The sequence below is a fragment of the Homo sapiens genome, chromosome 2 (genome assembly GCF_000001405.40).
Source record: "Homo sapiens chromosome 2, GRCh38.p14 Primary Assembly".
Lineage (NCBI taxonomy): Eukaryota > Metazoa > Chordata > Mammalia > Primates > Hominidae > Homo > Homo sapiens.
In genome coordinates this window covers 1193294-1210121 of record NC_000002.12, presented here as the reverse complement: position 1 = coordinate 1210121, position 16828 = coordinate 1193294, and the positions used below count along the sequence as shown (strand labels likewise).

At 37.9% G+C, this 16828-nt stretch overlaps 1 protein-coding gene across 16 annotated transcripts in view; it reads right to left on the bottom strand.

Moving 5' to 3' along the window:
- SNTG2 (syntrophin gamma 2) overlaps positions 1-16828 on the bottom strand; it is a 416765-nt gene that overhangs the window by 157492 nt on the left and 242445 nt on the right. For 14 of the 16 annotated variants that reach the window (NM_018968.4, XM_047444795.1, XM_017004362.1 and 11 more), the window contains one exon: positions 892-1019. The exons of the other annotated variants lie outside the window; for them this stretch is intronic. In NM_018968.4, coding sequence (NP_061841.2) covers positions 892-1019 — 128 coding nt within the window. The remainder of the gene's footprint in view (positions 1-891; positions 1020-16828) is intronic. 16 annotated transcript variants of the gene reach the window in all.

Sequence of the window (16828 nt, the reverse complement as noted above, 5' to 3'; positions counted from 1 at the left end):
CCTAATTCTAACGCTTCATGAAAAGCAATGTTTGCTAGACTTTTCCTTCCATTTAAGGACCAGTAAAGGGAATTTCAGGTTGTACTGTCTGCCCATCATACATACTATAGCCACACACATTCATACAGACCGCACACACCACGGCCACACACATTCACACAGACCACACACACTATAGCCACACACATTCACACAGATGCACACACATTGTGGGAAGTACAGTGCTCAATTAAAAAAAATTCCTTTGCTGACAGAAGGTTTGCTATTTCTACACATCTGTCTAAAGAACAGAAAAAGGAAATTCACCAACTCATTACTTGTGGGCCTTTCCACAGTAATTAAATAGCACAATTAGCCAAGCATACATTTTTCTACTCGAAAAGCTACAGAAACATCAACTTTTATAGTTACATCTTTGAAATTATTTAATTAACCAAACTCACAAGCTAGTTAGCATTTATTTAACATAGGTGCTGGTCTAACCCTCTCATTTTATTACTGAAGAAAAAGAGGCCCACAGAGTTTAAGTGGCATTTCTAAAAACATCTGAGACTTGGACAAGAAGTCAGTCTTTATTTCCAGTCTAATTCTGTTAGCATTTAAAACTAAAAATAGAATTTCTTTTACTAATGACTGGTTCATGAGAAGTAACCATGCCACCTTGCCCTAGATAGAACTATTCTTAGTAATAAATTCACTGTTCTGATACCTGACTTCTCATTTTCTCTTTATCTTTAACTTGTTTATTCCAAATGCTAAATCTACCAGAAGACAGCACGCACACTTGCTAATGTCACAGTCAAGCGCTCTGGAGTAACCAGCGGCCTGTAGGAACTGGCAAAAGTGCACGGGGTTCATCAAAGTTTCCCATCTCAGACAATGGTCACACACCTTAATTTTTCCGTTCCGGCTTTGTACCTTGAGATGCGAGCCATGGACAGAGGCACGGACAAGGTGTCCAGCCAGCGCTTCTCATACCTCGGGTCCTTAGCTATGGGCGAGGAAGGTGACGATGGGGCCTGTACAGAAGAAAGGAGAATGAAGCGTCACAGAGGCAGAGGAGGCTGCATGCGGGGAGAGGCATCTGCAGGCACCTGGAACACAGAACTCAAGTCCAACACATTTCAACTGATAAAAAAGCAAGTGAGGTTGTTTCTGAAAGATCTGGAAAGAAAGAAGTGCTCTTCTACCCGGATTTAAGACATTTTCTCCCGCTGTTTTCCAACTGCAAATTGCACGAAAGAGAAGAAGCTGAAGGGAAGGAGAAGGAGAAGAGGGGCCTAAATCTGGAGGGAAAGTTGTAGACACAGCACTGGGCTCAGTGCATAGAGACCGTGAGAAAGACGCAAAACCAAAACAACCTGAAATGTCCACTCAGCGAGTTTAGGTCGAGAGACACACGATAGAATGGCTGATGACATTCCAACGGGCGTCCAGGTCATGGGTCTGCCTTGTTATCGGTAGCAACGACTCTGTGCTGTGGTCAGAGCCGGGCCCAGATGGAAAAGTGGTGAGGCCTCGTCGGGTCTGCGGCTCTCGACAGGAAGCCCGTCTGGGAAGGTGAAGGAGCCATGCAACCACCACAGCACCACGCAGCAGCCCCGCAAGAGTCCAACAACGAAAGGGTCGGAGGTAGGTTCTGGGCCACAGGATCCACCCACCTCCCATTCCACGTTCTCAAAGAGGAGCCTGAGCTCTCTGAGCCATCTTGATCTCAGAGCCGGGCTCGCTGGGAATGAACCAGGTGCTGCCGCCCCAGCGACCGGCAAGAACGCGCCTCACAGGTGTGCCCCACACTCATGGACGTGCCTCACACAGATGTGCCTCACACTCACAGGTGTGCCCCACACTCATGGGCGTGCCTCACACTCACAGGTGTGCCCCACACTCACAGGTGTAACCCGCGCTCACAGGCAAGCCCCACACTCACAAGGCATTTCTGGTGTTTTAATTTGCTTCAGTGTCCACGGGAAGCACCAGCCCTGAGCTCCGGGCTCTGTGGACCATAGGGTCCAGGGACTGTTGCACCTGGAATCCGAGCATCTGTCTGCAAGAAGACTTTCTGTAAGCAGGGGCGCCGTGAGAAAACAGACCTGGGCTTTCTGGAGGCTCAGAAGGGTGGCATGAAGTGTCTTTCATACTTGCTTGTTCGTAAGTGTTAAGCTGCTGGATGTTCACTATGTATTAGAACGTTATTTGAGACTTCATTCCTTATAAATGCATACCTTACACATTGGTTAATCCACCACTTAAAGAGCCAACCCTATCCACCCCAAGTCTCCTCTGCAGTCAGCTTTACCTGCCCAAAAATAATGTCCCTAACAGTTCTGTGCCGCTGAACTGGCTCTGGTTGGTTTGCGGTGAGAGGAGACGGGGGGCGGTTCCCCAGGGTTTCTCATGAGATCCCTGGAACCTTGGAGGCTTCGCTTCCACGTGGATGAGGTTTCCATACGACTCTCTACACAATGCTTACGCTTAACAGAAAGAGTGTGTGATTTATTTTTCGTCTGTGCTAATATATAAGCCCCCTTCTCATTCTCCTCCACCTCAAATCATCTTTGCATCCCTGCCCTAGGATTTTAGATGAAAGGCCTCTCCCTCAACGCAGGTGGGATGGGGGAATGGACACTGAGGGAGGTTGGAGCGTCATACAGAAGAGGCGGCATCGCCATCTACAGATGTGTCTGAAGGCAGAAAAAAAAACTCACATAGCCAGAGGTTGGGTTTGGGTTATCATCCTAACATTGTTTCTCTATATTTATTAATTCCATGGCCAATAGCTCAATAGCAAAAGTGGCAATATTGGAACATTTGAACTCTGAGCTGAATTTTACAGATATTCATTCATGGTTACCCTTTTCTGTTGGGCTCTAACTTCTGGTAAGAGATTCACCTTTGGTGCATGCACGAGAATGACACTGAAATACCTTCTGATCACCTGATGTGTATTTCATATTAGCTTTGCTGAAATACCATTTGTCTACATAGACTACTGCAACCTGTGTAGGAATTCATTATAAATGACTGCATACTGTGGCAAGGTTTTAATTATCCCTATACATTTAATTTTAACTGTGGTATTTGCATGCACAATAATAAATCTGTGCCATAGGAGTTCATCCTAGTAATGCTGCTGTGTGTTTAGCCACATACTCTGTACCCCTTGTTGCTGATTCAAAGGTTTGCTACAGTGTGCTATCTGTTTGCAGAAGTACTAGAATTATACTGCAAAACCACCACTTAAAATTGCATAGAGGATTCTACTATACAATGCACAATATTTAAATAAACAAAATAGTATGCATCCTTTCATAAAATCAGTTGAAGATTACTTTTGAAAAGTGTAGGATCAAAAGCAATTCCCCACTGAGAAAACCCATTTTTTCTTTATAAAATCAGGCTGCATGCAGAGCTTGTAGGTGCAGCTTTGGCTCCAGACTGTGGACTTTCATAGGACGCTTTTCACTTGGAGGCCACTGATAAACCCTGAATTTCATGTCCCACTGAATGTACTTTCCTCTGGAAAAGTATTTTGCACAATCTGGAGAAAATATTTTCTATAACCTAGCAGCTAGGGGAGAAGTCAGGTCTCTGTGAGCTAATGCTTAGCTCAGCGGGGTCAAATGCTCCCATCTACTGAGGGCCAAGGAGAAGGAACATGCCAGTGTTACCCCTCTGCAGCTCCTTCCTCTCCAGCTGCCCCAGCACACCCAGCTCTTTGCTCTCTGCAGTCACAAGCTGGCACTGACATTGGAGGAAATGCCTCCAGCATCCTCTCCTTAGGAGAAGAGTATGTGCAGGGTGCCCGGAAAGGCCTTCTGGTCCTGTGCCCACCTTCCACACAGGCATCTCCAAAGTCAGCTCAAGGTAGGTGCTGCTCATTTGAGCAAACCCCACTCTGAGGGAGTTCATGTGCTGCAGAAAGCAGAGCCTCGTGATTCTCATCGTGGTCCCAAATCTTACATCAACTCAATAGCTTGCAGATATAATGAGGCATGTTCCTACCAGCTGATCACAAACCCTATAGCTTGTACCTGTCAGCTTTTTGTAATCTTGCTGCTTCCAACAGGAATGCAGAGCTCAGCATTTCCAGGGTTGCAAAAGCATCTGCATCTATCCATGGCAGTGGAAACCAATTTTAGATGAGGAACAAAACAGAACATGTTTTCCTCTGTTTAATTTATGATGTAGTCAAAAGTTGCCAAAGAACTGACCCCCAAAAGCCATCCTGTAGCATTTATATGTGACTGACCAACCAACTCACACGGCATTTACTATGAGATGCCACAGTTATTATAAGATTGTCAATCAAAAAAATTAGAGAAAAACATTTCCCAATACACTGAATGTATACAAGAATTAGAAGAATGGATTATAACCAAAAACGCAAGCCACACGTGTTTCGAAGAATGGAGGGCGAGGGGGAGCCTGTACTGGCAGCGATGTTCACATGAGCTGCCTGGAGATGAAGGCCATCAGGTTCAGAGACTCAAAGCAAGAATTGGCATCAGGTCACTGGGCAGGTGCTCTTTCTAAAGCATTGTATTCAGATTGTTGCAGTCCCCAAGAAGGAACTTGTGAGGTTATTTTAGAAGTTTTCAAGACAGTCTTCATCTCAGACATGCAAGCATAAGCTCCCCGACTCTGCATTCTCCCAGCTCTGGTTCTTTGGGGTTGACAAAAAGTGATTTCGTCCTGAGATCTGCAACACTCACAAGATAAACATTCTGAATGGAGGTGGATCTCTAGAGGGCACTGTGCCCAGATGGGTGCATTTTGAAAACTCGAGAAAAATTGAGTACTTTTAACATACTCTTTATAAAGTTACTGGAAATGAATAAAAGTAGATGAAAGCAAAAGCCTCCAAATATTTCAACCACTTACAAGGTTCCCAGTTTAATATAAACTGTGTATCATCCCAGCATTTTTGCCTCCTCAAGGCATGTATGTATGGACACAAAGTAGTGTTCGGAGCACACTCTTAAGTCTACGTTCTCTGATTATCATAGAAATACAACCACATTCTAGAAAAGATGGGAAATATAAAAAGGTTAAAAAAAACCTTATCACCCATTTTGTATATTTCTCATGGTCTTTTTCTATTTGGTTTTTAAAAGTTAAGATCATACTGCACATAATAATTTTTAAAGACATACAAGAAAATAATATTTTTAGATCACAGATAATAAAAAGTGGAATCTGAAGACAAATCTTTGCTTTCAGGAGGCTTCTGAGCCTTTCTGCTTTAATAATAAGCATTTCTTGAATATAAAAAAGACTCCCAGTGAATGCCTGAAAACTGTGCGTAGTACCAAACCGTATAGTTATATACTATGCTTTTTTCCTATACACACACACTTATAATAAAGTTTAATTTCTAAATTAGGCCCCGTAAGAGATTAACAACTGCTAATACAATAGAGGAATTACATCGCTATTCTGTAAAGAACGTGATGAGAATGTGGTCTCTCTATAAAGAGCTTATTTACTGTACTCCTCCGTCTCCTTGTGATAAGGGGATGGAGCAGTGTGTGCACAAGGTTTCATCAGCTACTCAGAATGTGCACAATTTAAAACTTATGATTGTTTATTTCTGGAATTTTCCATGTAATATTTCAGAATGTGGTTGATTGTAGGTAACTGAAACTGAGGAAAGCAAAACTACAGATAAGAGAGGCATCACCATACACTTGGTGTTTTAATACTTTGTGTTTAAATAAGAGGTTTGAAGCCAACTTTTTACATGTTGCTGTATTTTCTACAGTGAATCACTGAAAAGCTTTGCACTTTTTTTGTTTGTAACTGAACTGTATTGAGGCATAAATGGCATACAATAACGTGCAGATTTTAAGTGCACAGTTTGATGAGTTTTGTCAAATATATATAGCCCATGCAGCCCAAATCCAAATTATGAAACAGAGTATTTCTACCTCATCCACATAACACCTACCCCCATGATACTTCCTCTGTGCCCGTTTGCAGGCAATCCCTCCAGCCCAAGGTAGTCACTGATCTGGTTTCTGCTGTTATAGACTAGTTTTGCTGCTTTATAACTCGGTATTAATCGAATGATGCACTATCACTTGTGTGTAAACCTTTCTTCTCTCAGCATAAAGCCTGGAAGATGCATCCATGTTAATGTGTGTGTCAGCAAATTATTCATTTTTATCCATTCACCTGTTGAAAAAGATCTGATTGTTGCTTGAGGATATTATAAATAACGTTGCTATGCTGTCATCTAAATTTGGATTTTGAATGTTGTACGAAGCTTGCATTCCTGAAATAAGCCCCATTTTTTTCATGATACATGATCCTTCTTTCGATTTGTTAATATGTTGTTGAAGAATTTCTGCATCTACATTCATGAGGGCTATTGGTCCATATATATACATATACATATACACACATACACACACACACACACACACACATATATATATATATATATTTTTTTTTTTGTTTGTTTTTGAGACAAGGTCTCACTCTGTTGCACAGACTGGAGTGCAATGGTGTGATCTCGGCTCACTGCAACCCCAGCTTCCTGGGTTCAAACAATTCTCGTGCCCCAGCCTCCTGAGAAGCTGGGATTACAGATACGCACCACCATGCCTGGCTTTTTTTTTTTAAGTAGAGATGGGGTTTCATGATGTTGGCCAGGCTGGTCTCAAACTCCTGGCCTCAAGTGACCCTCCCTCCTCTGCCTCCCAAAGTGCTGGGATTACAAGTGTGAGCCACTGTGCCCGGCCTGTGTAACATTTGTCACTCTTAATCTCAGTGGAAGGTTTTGGTTATCAGTGTTATCCCAGTTTCACAGAGTTATCTGGGATTCATTTCAACCTCCTCTATTTCCTGAAAGAGTTAGAAAAGTGTACATATTATTTATTTGAAAGAATTCACCAGTTGCAGGATACTTGAGTTTTGTATAAATCTTTTTAGTCCTAAGTAGTAGATCATGGCCCAGCATTCCATCTATCTTGTTGAATGTTCCATGCTCACATGAAAAGAAATTGCATTCTGGAGACTTTGGATCCAGGACTCTATAAATGTCAGTGAGGTCCCAGTTGATTCATAAGGTAGTGTAGTTCTTCTACATCTTTACTAATGTTTTTGTCTATCCGTCCTATCAACACTGAGCATAAAATATTAAAATCTCCCATTTTGATTGTGGATTTCTCTGTGTTTTTCCCATCTCTGCCAGTTTTTGGTTTGTATTTGGGAGCTCTGTTATAAGGTACATACCATATTTACAATTATTATGTTTTCCTGATGAACTCATATTATTTTTAAATCATAATAAAATGTTTCTCTTGGGAACATTGCTTATTTTGAAGACCACTCATCAAACATTAATAGACTGATATTTTTATGGTTATTGTTTATAAAATACATGCTCTCCATTCTTCTAATTCCCACCTGTGGGTATCTTTATATTTAAATTATATTTTCTGTATACACCATACAGTTGGATGTTGCTTTTTTAAAAATCCAGTCTGACAACTTTTACCTTTTAATTAAAATGTTTAGTCCATTTATATTTAATGTGATTCTCATACTGCTGGGCTTAATTACATGTTGCTATTGGTCTTTTTGTTCCCCTGGATTTTTTCTACTCTGTTGAACAAATTCTTCTGTATAAAGGGTAAATCATTTTTTTTTCACGATCCTCTTTTATCTCCTCATTGACTGTAGGGGTCATAATATTGCATTCTTAATATATCAGTGTTTCTTTAGAGTCAATATTGTATCACTTTAAACTTCATATTGACACATCAATCTTCCTATACCTCACTTCACAAATATAAAAACCTCAACTGACTGTGCCCTTGGTTCTATTTTTGCTGTATCTTTTACTTCTACATACATTATCAAGTCCAGTTTACTGTGTCATCATCTTGTCCTTTAAAGTATTATTTATCTGAAAGAAAACTGAGAAAAGAAACAGTTTATATTGGATATTTTATATACATACCCACCTATTTGCCATTCATAGTGCTCTTCACTTCTTCCTATGTATCAAGTTTCCACGTGGTTTAATGTCCTTCCAGCTTGAAGAGCATGTTTTAGTATTTCCTGTAGTGTAGGTCTACTGGCAACATTTTCTCTCAACTTGAATTTATTTTTAAAAATAAGCTTTTTTATCATCTGGCTGCTTCCTAAACCTTCTCTTCTTCCTTGGTTTTCAACAGTTTGACTGTGATATGCCTAAATAGTTTTCTTTGTGTCTATCTTGCTTCATGTTCACTCCTATTCTTTGCATTCTTATTCTCATTCTGGGACTCCATGATATGTAATTCAGACCACTGGAGGTGTCCCACAAGTCTCTGATTCTCATTTCATTTACTTTTATTTGTTTTGCCCATTTTTATTAACACATAGTATTTTCACACATTTTTGGGGTGTATGTGATACTTTGATACATGCATATGATGCATAATGATCAAAACAAGGTATTAAAAATCCATCACCTCAAACATTTATCATTTCATTGTGTTGGGAACATTTCGGATATTTTCTTCTAGGTATTTTGAAATATGCATTTCAAATGCATATTCCTCCATAAGCCATATAGCATTTGAAATATGCATTTCAAAATACCTAGAAGAAAATATGTGAAATGTCCCCAACATAATGTATTTCTATTAACTATGTTAACAATAGAACTTATCCCTTCTATCTAATTGTATGTTTGTACCCATTAACCAACTTCTCTTCACCTCCCCCCACACCCTTTCCAGCCTCTGATAACCATCCTTCTACCCTCTACTTCATGAAATCAACTTTTTTAGCTCTTACTATATGAGTGATAACATGTGATATTTGTCTTTCTGTGCCTGGGTTATTTCACTTAGTATAATGACCTCCAGTTCCATCCATGTTGCTGTGGATGAAAGGATTTTACTATTTTATGGTTGAATAGTATTTCATTGTGTATATATACCATATTTTTCTTATCTATTCACCTAATAATGGACACTTAGGTTAACACCACATCTTACTCTTGTGGATAATGATGCAATAAACATGTGGGTACAGGTATCCCTTTGATATACTGATTTCCTTTCCTTTCAATAAATACCCACTAGTGGGATTGCTCAATCATATAGTAGCTCTATTTTTAGTTTTCTGAAGAGCTTCCATACTGTTTTCCAGAGTGGTTGTACTAACGTACATTTCTAAAAACAGTGTATAAGACTTCTATTTTCTCCTCATCCTTCCAGAGTCTGTAATTTTTCTAAAATCTTTTTTAAAATAACCATTCTAACTGGGGTAAGATAATATTTCATCATGATTTTGATTTTCATTTCCCTGATGATTAGTAATGCTAAGCATTTTTTTCATATATCTGTTCGTTGGCCATTTGTTGGCCTATAGGCCATATGTCTTCTTTTGAGAATTTTCTATTCAGATACTTTGCCCAGTATTAATAGGATTAGTTTGTTTTTCTTATTGTTTTTGCTGTTGAGTCCCTTGTATATTCTGGATATTAGTCTCTTGTCGAATGAATAGTTTGCAAATATTTTTCTCATTACATATATTGTTGCTTCACTCTGTTGATTATTCCTTTGTTGTGCAGAAGCTTTTTAGTTTAATACAGTTCCATTTGTTTATTTTAAAAAAGTTTTTGTTGTCAGTGCTTTTGAGGTCTCAGTCATAAAATCTTTTCCTAAACCAGCGTCCTGAAGTGTTTCTACTATGTTTACTTCTAGTAGTTTTATAATTTTGGATCTCACGTTTAAGCTTTTAATCCACTTTGAGTTGATTTTTTAATATGGTGAGAAATAGGGGTCCAGTTTCATTTTTCTGCAGATGAATATCCAGCTTTCCCAGAACCATGTATTGAAGAGAGTATCCTTTCACCAATGTATGTTCTTGGTATCTTTGTCAAAAATTAGTTGGCTGCCAATATGTGTATTTATTTCTATGTTTTCTGTTATATTTTATTGGTCTCTGTGTCTGTTTTTATACCAGTACCATGCTTTTTTCATTACTATAGCTCTGTAGTGTATTTCAAAGTCATTCTGCCCTTTTTGCTTAAGTTCTGTTCTTTTTGCTTAAGATTGCTTTGGCTATTCATGCTCTCTTGTGGTTCCATACAAATTAATAAAATTATATCTTCTATTTCTGTAAAGAATTTTATTGGTATTTTTATAGGGATTGCATTAAATCTGTTAAATGCTTTAGGAAATATGGTCATTTTTACTATATTAATTCTTTTGATCCATGAGTATGAGATGTCTTTCCATTAGTTTGCGTTTTCTTCAATTTCTTTCAACAATGTTTTGTAGTTTTTCTTGTAGAGGTCATTTACCTCTTTGATTAAACTTATTCCTAAATATTTTTTCATAGCTATTGTGAAAGGGATTGGTGTCTTGATTTATTTTTCAGCTGGTTTGTTATTGGTATTGAGAAATACTACTGGTTTTTGTGTATTGATTCTTTATCCTGCAACTTTCCTGAAATATTTTATTAGTATTAAGAGTTTTTTGGTGAAGTCTTCAGGTTTTACTATATATAAGATCATGTCATCTGCAAAGAGGGACAATTTAACTTCCTATTTTTCAATGTGAATGCCTTTTGTTTCTTTCTCCTGCTTCATTGTTCTGTCTAGGACTTCCAGGACTATGCTGAATAGGAGTGATAAAAGTGGGCATCTTTGTCTTATTACAATTTTTAGAGGAAAGCCTTTCAGCTTTTCCCCATTCACTACAATACTAGTCATGGGCCTGTCATATATGACCTTATGCTGAAGTTTATCCCTTCCCTAATTTGAGTACTTTTATCATAAAGCATTGTTGAATTCTATCAAATGCTTTTTCTGCTTCTACTGAGATGGTCATATGGTTTTTGTTCTTTATTATATTGATGTGATGTGTCACATTTATTGATTTGCATATATTTAACTGTCCTTCCATCTCTGGGATGAATCTTGCTTGATGATGGTGTGTTACCTTTTTAATGTGTTGTTGGATTAGGTCTGCTAGTTTTTTTATTGAGGGTTTTTGTGTCTGTGTTCATCAGAAATATTGGCCTGTTGTTTCCTTTCTTTGCTGTGTCCTTTTCTGGTTTTTGCATTACGTAATGCTGGCATTGTAGAATGAGTTAGGAAAAAATCCCTACTCTTCAATTTTTGAAGTAGTTTAAGAAGTATGGATGTTAGTTCTTCTTTATAAGTTTGAAAGAATTCAGAATTAAAACCATCCAGTCCTGGGCTTTCTTTGTTGGGAGAGTTTATTACTGATCCAACCTTGTTACTTGTTATTGGTCTATTCAGGTTTTAGACTTTTTTTTCATGGTTCAATCTTGGTAGGTTGTATATTTCTAGGAATTTATCTATTGTCTCTGTTTTCCAATTTGCTAGCATATAGTGGTTAATAGTCTCTGATGATTCTTTGTATATCTTTGGAATTTCTGCTTCAAAATCTTTTTTGTTTCTAATTTTATTTATTTGGATCTTCTATTTTTTGTTTAGCTAGCAGTTTATCAATTTTATCTTACTAAAAAACTTTTATTAATCTTTGTGCTTTTTTAGTCTCTATTTAATTCTGCTCTGATCTCTGTATTATTTTTCCCTTCTGCTACTTTTGGCTTTAGTTTGTTCTTGTTTTCCCATTCTTTAGGCTAACTATAAGGTTGTTTACTTGACTTTTTTTTTTACGTTTTTCGATGTGTGTCTCTTATTTGTTATATACTTTCCACTTAGTCCTGTTTTTGCTATATCCTATATGTTTTAGTACATTGTGTGTCAGACAGACTTTCTGCTTAGTATTGTTTTTGCTATATCCTATAGATTTTTGTATATTGTGTTTCAGTTTTCATTTGTTTCAATAATGTTTTTTACCTCCTTCTTAAATTCTTTATTGACCCAATGGTTGTTCAGGGGCATGTAGTTTAATTTTCATATATTTATATAGGTATAGTTTCTAAGGTTCTTCTTATTTTTTCTAGTTTATTCCACTGTGTTCTGAGAAGATATTTGATATAGTTTTCATTCTTATAAATTTGTTCCCACTTTTTTTTGTGGCCTAATGTATGATCTATCCCAGCAAAGTTCTGTGTGCTGATGAGAACAATGTGTATTCTGCAGCAATTAAAAAAAATTCTGTAAATATCTGTTAGATCCATTTAGTCTAAAGTACAAGTTAAATCCAATGCTTCCCTGTTGATTTTCTTTTAGATAATCTGTCTAATGCTGAGAAAGCAGTGTTGAAATCCCCAATTATTTTCATATTGGAGTTTATTTCATTATTTAGAACTAATAAATAGTTGCTATATATTTATGGGTGCTCTGGGTCAGGCATGTTGGCTCATGCCTGTAATCCAGCACTTTGGGAGGCTGAGGCAGTTGGATCACTTGAGCCCGGGAGTTTGACACCATCCTGGGCAACATGGCAACACTTCATCCCTACCAAAGTACAAAAATTAGCTGGGCATGATGATGCATGCCTGTAATCCCAGATACTTGGGAGGAGGTGGGAGGATCACCTGAGCCCAGGAAGGTTGAAGCTGCAGTAAGCCATGATCATGCCACTGCACCCCAGACTGAGTGACAGTGAGAACCTGTATCAAATATACACACACACACACACACACACACACACACACACATATATATACATACACATATATACATACACATATATATATACACATATATATATGCATGCTCTGAAATTGGGTGCATGTGTATTTAGAATTTTTATAGACTTTTGATGAATTGATCCTTTTATCATTTTATAAAGATCTTCTTTGTGTCTTTTTTTTGTTTTTGACTTAAAGTCTATTTTATCTGATATAATTATAGTTGCTTCTGTTCATTTTTGGTTTCCATTTGTATAGAATAGCTTTTTCTATTCCTTCACTTTCAGGTAATAAATGTATTTACTAGTGAAGTGAGTTTCTTGTGGGCAGCATATAATTGGGTCATTTCATTGTTGTTGTACCTATTAATCCAGTCTGTATCTTTTAAGTGGGAAATTTAATTCATTTACATTTAAGGTAGTTATTGATAGGTGAGGACTTATTCCTGTCATTTTGTTAATTGTTTTCTGGTTGTTGTGTACATCATTTTTTCCTTTCTTTCTCTCTCATTGTTTATCATTGCAGTTTGGTGGTTTTCTGTAGTGGTTAACACTTGAGTCTTTTCTCTTTTTCATTTACTTGTCTGCTCTACCAATGAGTTTTAAACTTTCATGTTTTTTCATGATGGTAGATGTGGTCCTTTCACTTCCAGGTGTAGGGCTCCCTTAATCATTTTGTGTAGAACCAGTCTAATGGTGACTAATTTTATGTTTTTGCTTGTCTGAGAAGACTTCATTTCTCTTTCATTTTTGAAGAATAGCTTTTCTAGGTACAGTATTCTTGGCTAGAAGTGTTTTTTTTCTTTTAGTACTTTGAATGTATCATCTCATTTTCTCCCAGCCTGTATGATTTTTGCTGATAAATCAACTGATGGCTTGATGGAGGTTCTCCCTTATATGTGACTTGCTACTTTTCTCTTGCTGTTTTCAGAATTCTCTTTTTATCTTTTACTTTTGACAGTTTGACCATACTATACGATGAAGAAGACCTTTTTGGGTTGATTCTGTTTGGTGATTGTTAAGCTTTCTATATCTAGATGTCTAAATCTTTTGCCAGACTTGAGAAGCTTTCAGGTCTTACTTTATTAAATAGGTTTTCTATGCCTTTGCTCATCTCTTCCCCATCTGGAACACATGAAATTCAAATATGTAATCATTTTAATGTGTCCCATATGTCATAAAGGTTTTCTTCATTCTTTTTTATTTTTTCTTTTGTTTGTCTGACTGGGTTATTTCAGAAGACCTGTCTTCAAGTTCAGAAATTCATTATTTTGCTTGATCTACTTTATTGCTGAAGTTCTCATTTGTATTTTTTATATCATCCATTGAGTTATTGAGTTCTAAGATTTCTGTTTGTTTCCTTGTTTTTAAAATATCTATGTCTTTGGTAAATTTTGTGGTATTATCAAAAGTATTTGATATTGAGTATTCTGACCTAACTTGGAGTCTGAAACTATAAAGCAGTTACTCACTGGAGATTAAGAAGAAGGTGATATGCAAAGTTTGAGTTATGCATGACACAAAAAAAAGATTCCAAACTCAAACTATTATATACTGTAGGCCTTTAGAGTTAACTTCTTCATGGTATGCTGTAATATCATGATGTTATTTTTAGATTATCCCAACAATGTGAGTTTATTTTTTTTTTCCTGATCAATAAAGATAATCACTAAACCCGGGAAAATAGTTAATCTTTAATAACATAATATCCACAACTTCATGTTCAATTAAAAATAATTTTGCCTTGGGCAAAGACTTCATGGCTAAAACACCAAAAGCAATGGCAACAAAAGCCAAAATAGACAAATGGGATCTGATTAAACTAAAGAGCTTCTGCACAGCAAAAGAAACCATCATCAGAGTGAACAGGCAGCCTACAGAATGGGAGAAAATTTTTGCAATCTATTCATCTGACAAAGGGCTAATATCCAGAATCTACAAAGAACTTAAACAGATTTACAAGAAAAAACAAATAACCCCATCAAAAAGTGGGTGGCAGATATGAACAGACACTTCTCAAAAGAAGACATTTATGCAGCCAACAACCATATGAAAAAAAGCTCATTATCACTAGTCATTAGAGAAATGCCAATCAAAACCACAATGAGATACCATCTCATGTCAGTTGGAATGGCGATCATTAAAAAGGAAACAACAGATGCTGGAGAGGATGTGGAGAAATAGGAACGCTTTTACACTGTTGGTGGGAGTGTAGATTAGTTCAACCATTGTGAAGACAGTGTGGCAACTCCTCAAGGATCTAGAACTAGAACTACCATTTGACCCAGCAATCCTATTACTGGGTATATACACAAAGGATTATAAATAATTCTACTATAAAGACACATGCACACACATGTTTATTGTGGAACTGTTCACAATAGCAAAGACTTGGAACCAACCCAAATGCCCATCAAAGATAGACTGGATAAAGAAAATGTGCCACATATATACCATGGAGTACTATGCAGCCATTAAAAAGGATGAATTCATGTCTTTTGCTGGAACATGGATGATGCTGGAAACCATCATCCTCCACAAATTAACGCAAGAACAGAAAACCAAACACTGCATGTTCTCACTCACAAGTGGGAGTTGAACAATGAGAACACATGGACACAGGGAGGGGAACATCATACACTGGGGCCTGTTGTGGAGTGGGGGACTAGGGGAGGGATAGCATTAGGAGAAATACCTAACGTAGATGGCAGGTTGATGGGTGCAGCAAACCACCATGGCACGTGTATACCTATGTAACAAAACTGCACGTTCTGCACATCTACCCCAGAACTTAAAGTATAATAAATAAATAAATAAGCCTGATCAGCAGACAAAATAAGCCTCTGGGTCACATGTTCATAATTTTCACCTTTATAAAACCTACTGGAGGCCAATTTTAGTATAATTTTAGAGTATAATCAGCACAAACATAATGGGGAAAGAATTTAACTATTGCAGGCGGCAACACGACATCACTAAGAAATCTTAGTTGAAAGTGGCCAAAACTGTAAAATATTGGCCAGGAAGAATCAACCAACGTGGTACCTACAGGACCTTTAGTCCTTTGAGGAAATCTGAAATCTTTAGGTGCCTAAGAAGTTCTAAGAAAGAAAGATTCCCACATTCCTATACTTTAAATGTGTAAATATATGTGATTTTCACAGCTGTATGTGGTCACAAGGTGAAACTGCCTGAGGACATTGCTGGGAGTTTGTAAACTACACCTGGAAAACCCAGCATCCAGCAGGACACGGAGAAAGACAATACTCTAGACTGCATCCCCAGCGCTTCTCCCCCCATCCTGACCATGCTTCTTCCCTTGTGCAGAGCTCACTCTGCTTCCTCCTACTTCTAACTCTCTGGGAGTTACAGCTTCTTATAAAGAGAGGATAATGAATGATAAAAAATGAAAAGTGGAAACAACACTCTTTTGCTACTTCCAACAATAAACACTAATGTGGTAGAGGAAAGGCTGCCAGGATTCCTGCCCTGTGCACACCTGGTCCAGTGCATACCTCATCTGCCCACTCTGGGCCTGGGGATGGGAGACAGACTGGCTGGAGGGAGATGAAGGTCCGACAGAGCTAAGTGTGCCCACACTGTGGCCTGCAGCCAAAGCTCCACTCGGAAAGTCAGAATATACCAACTACAAATCAAGGTCTTAATAACAGTGAGAAGTTGTTTTGTTTTGTTTTCATGTGTTCAGAGTTATTCTGGTGGGTGTAAAGTGTGGTCAGGAATCTAAAATGTAAACTGTGTTCACCTAGAAACATGCAGTAGATGGTGAATTCTTGGTCTTTATAAAAATAAATTTACTTCTGCCCTTTGCTGTCAGGCGAGAGTCTAACAAGGCCTAGAAATGCTCAGGACTTTCTTCTTTATGGCTGAAAAGAAATGGAAACCCATGTCCAAAATGTAACACATAAAAATGTTTTTTTTTCTTCTTTATTCAGGGGAGATATATTCTGCAATCCTGTGGCAGGTGCATCACTGTGGCCACTAGCAATGAGTGTTTTAAATGATTTACTTTTCAGTACAGCAACGGACTTCTAAAATATGCGTTGCTCATTTAGTATCTCAGAAAAATAAATAGACAAGGGAACAATCAAACAAAAGCAGGCAGGTCCTCGGGTATCAGTGATGAAGCCTGGGCTACGCTTTCCAATCCTTTTCATCAGGTGGTGAGCGGCTGCCTGCGGAGCCTCTAGGAGGGAGGGCTTTCCCAAATTGTGCCGAGAGCCTCCCCAGTT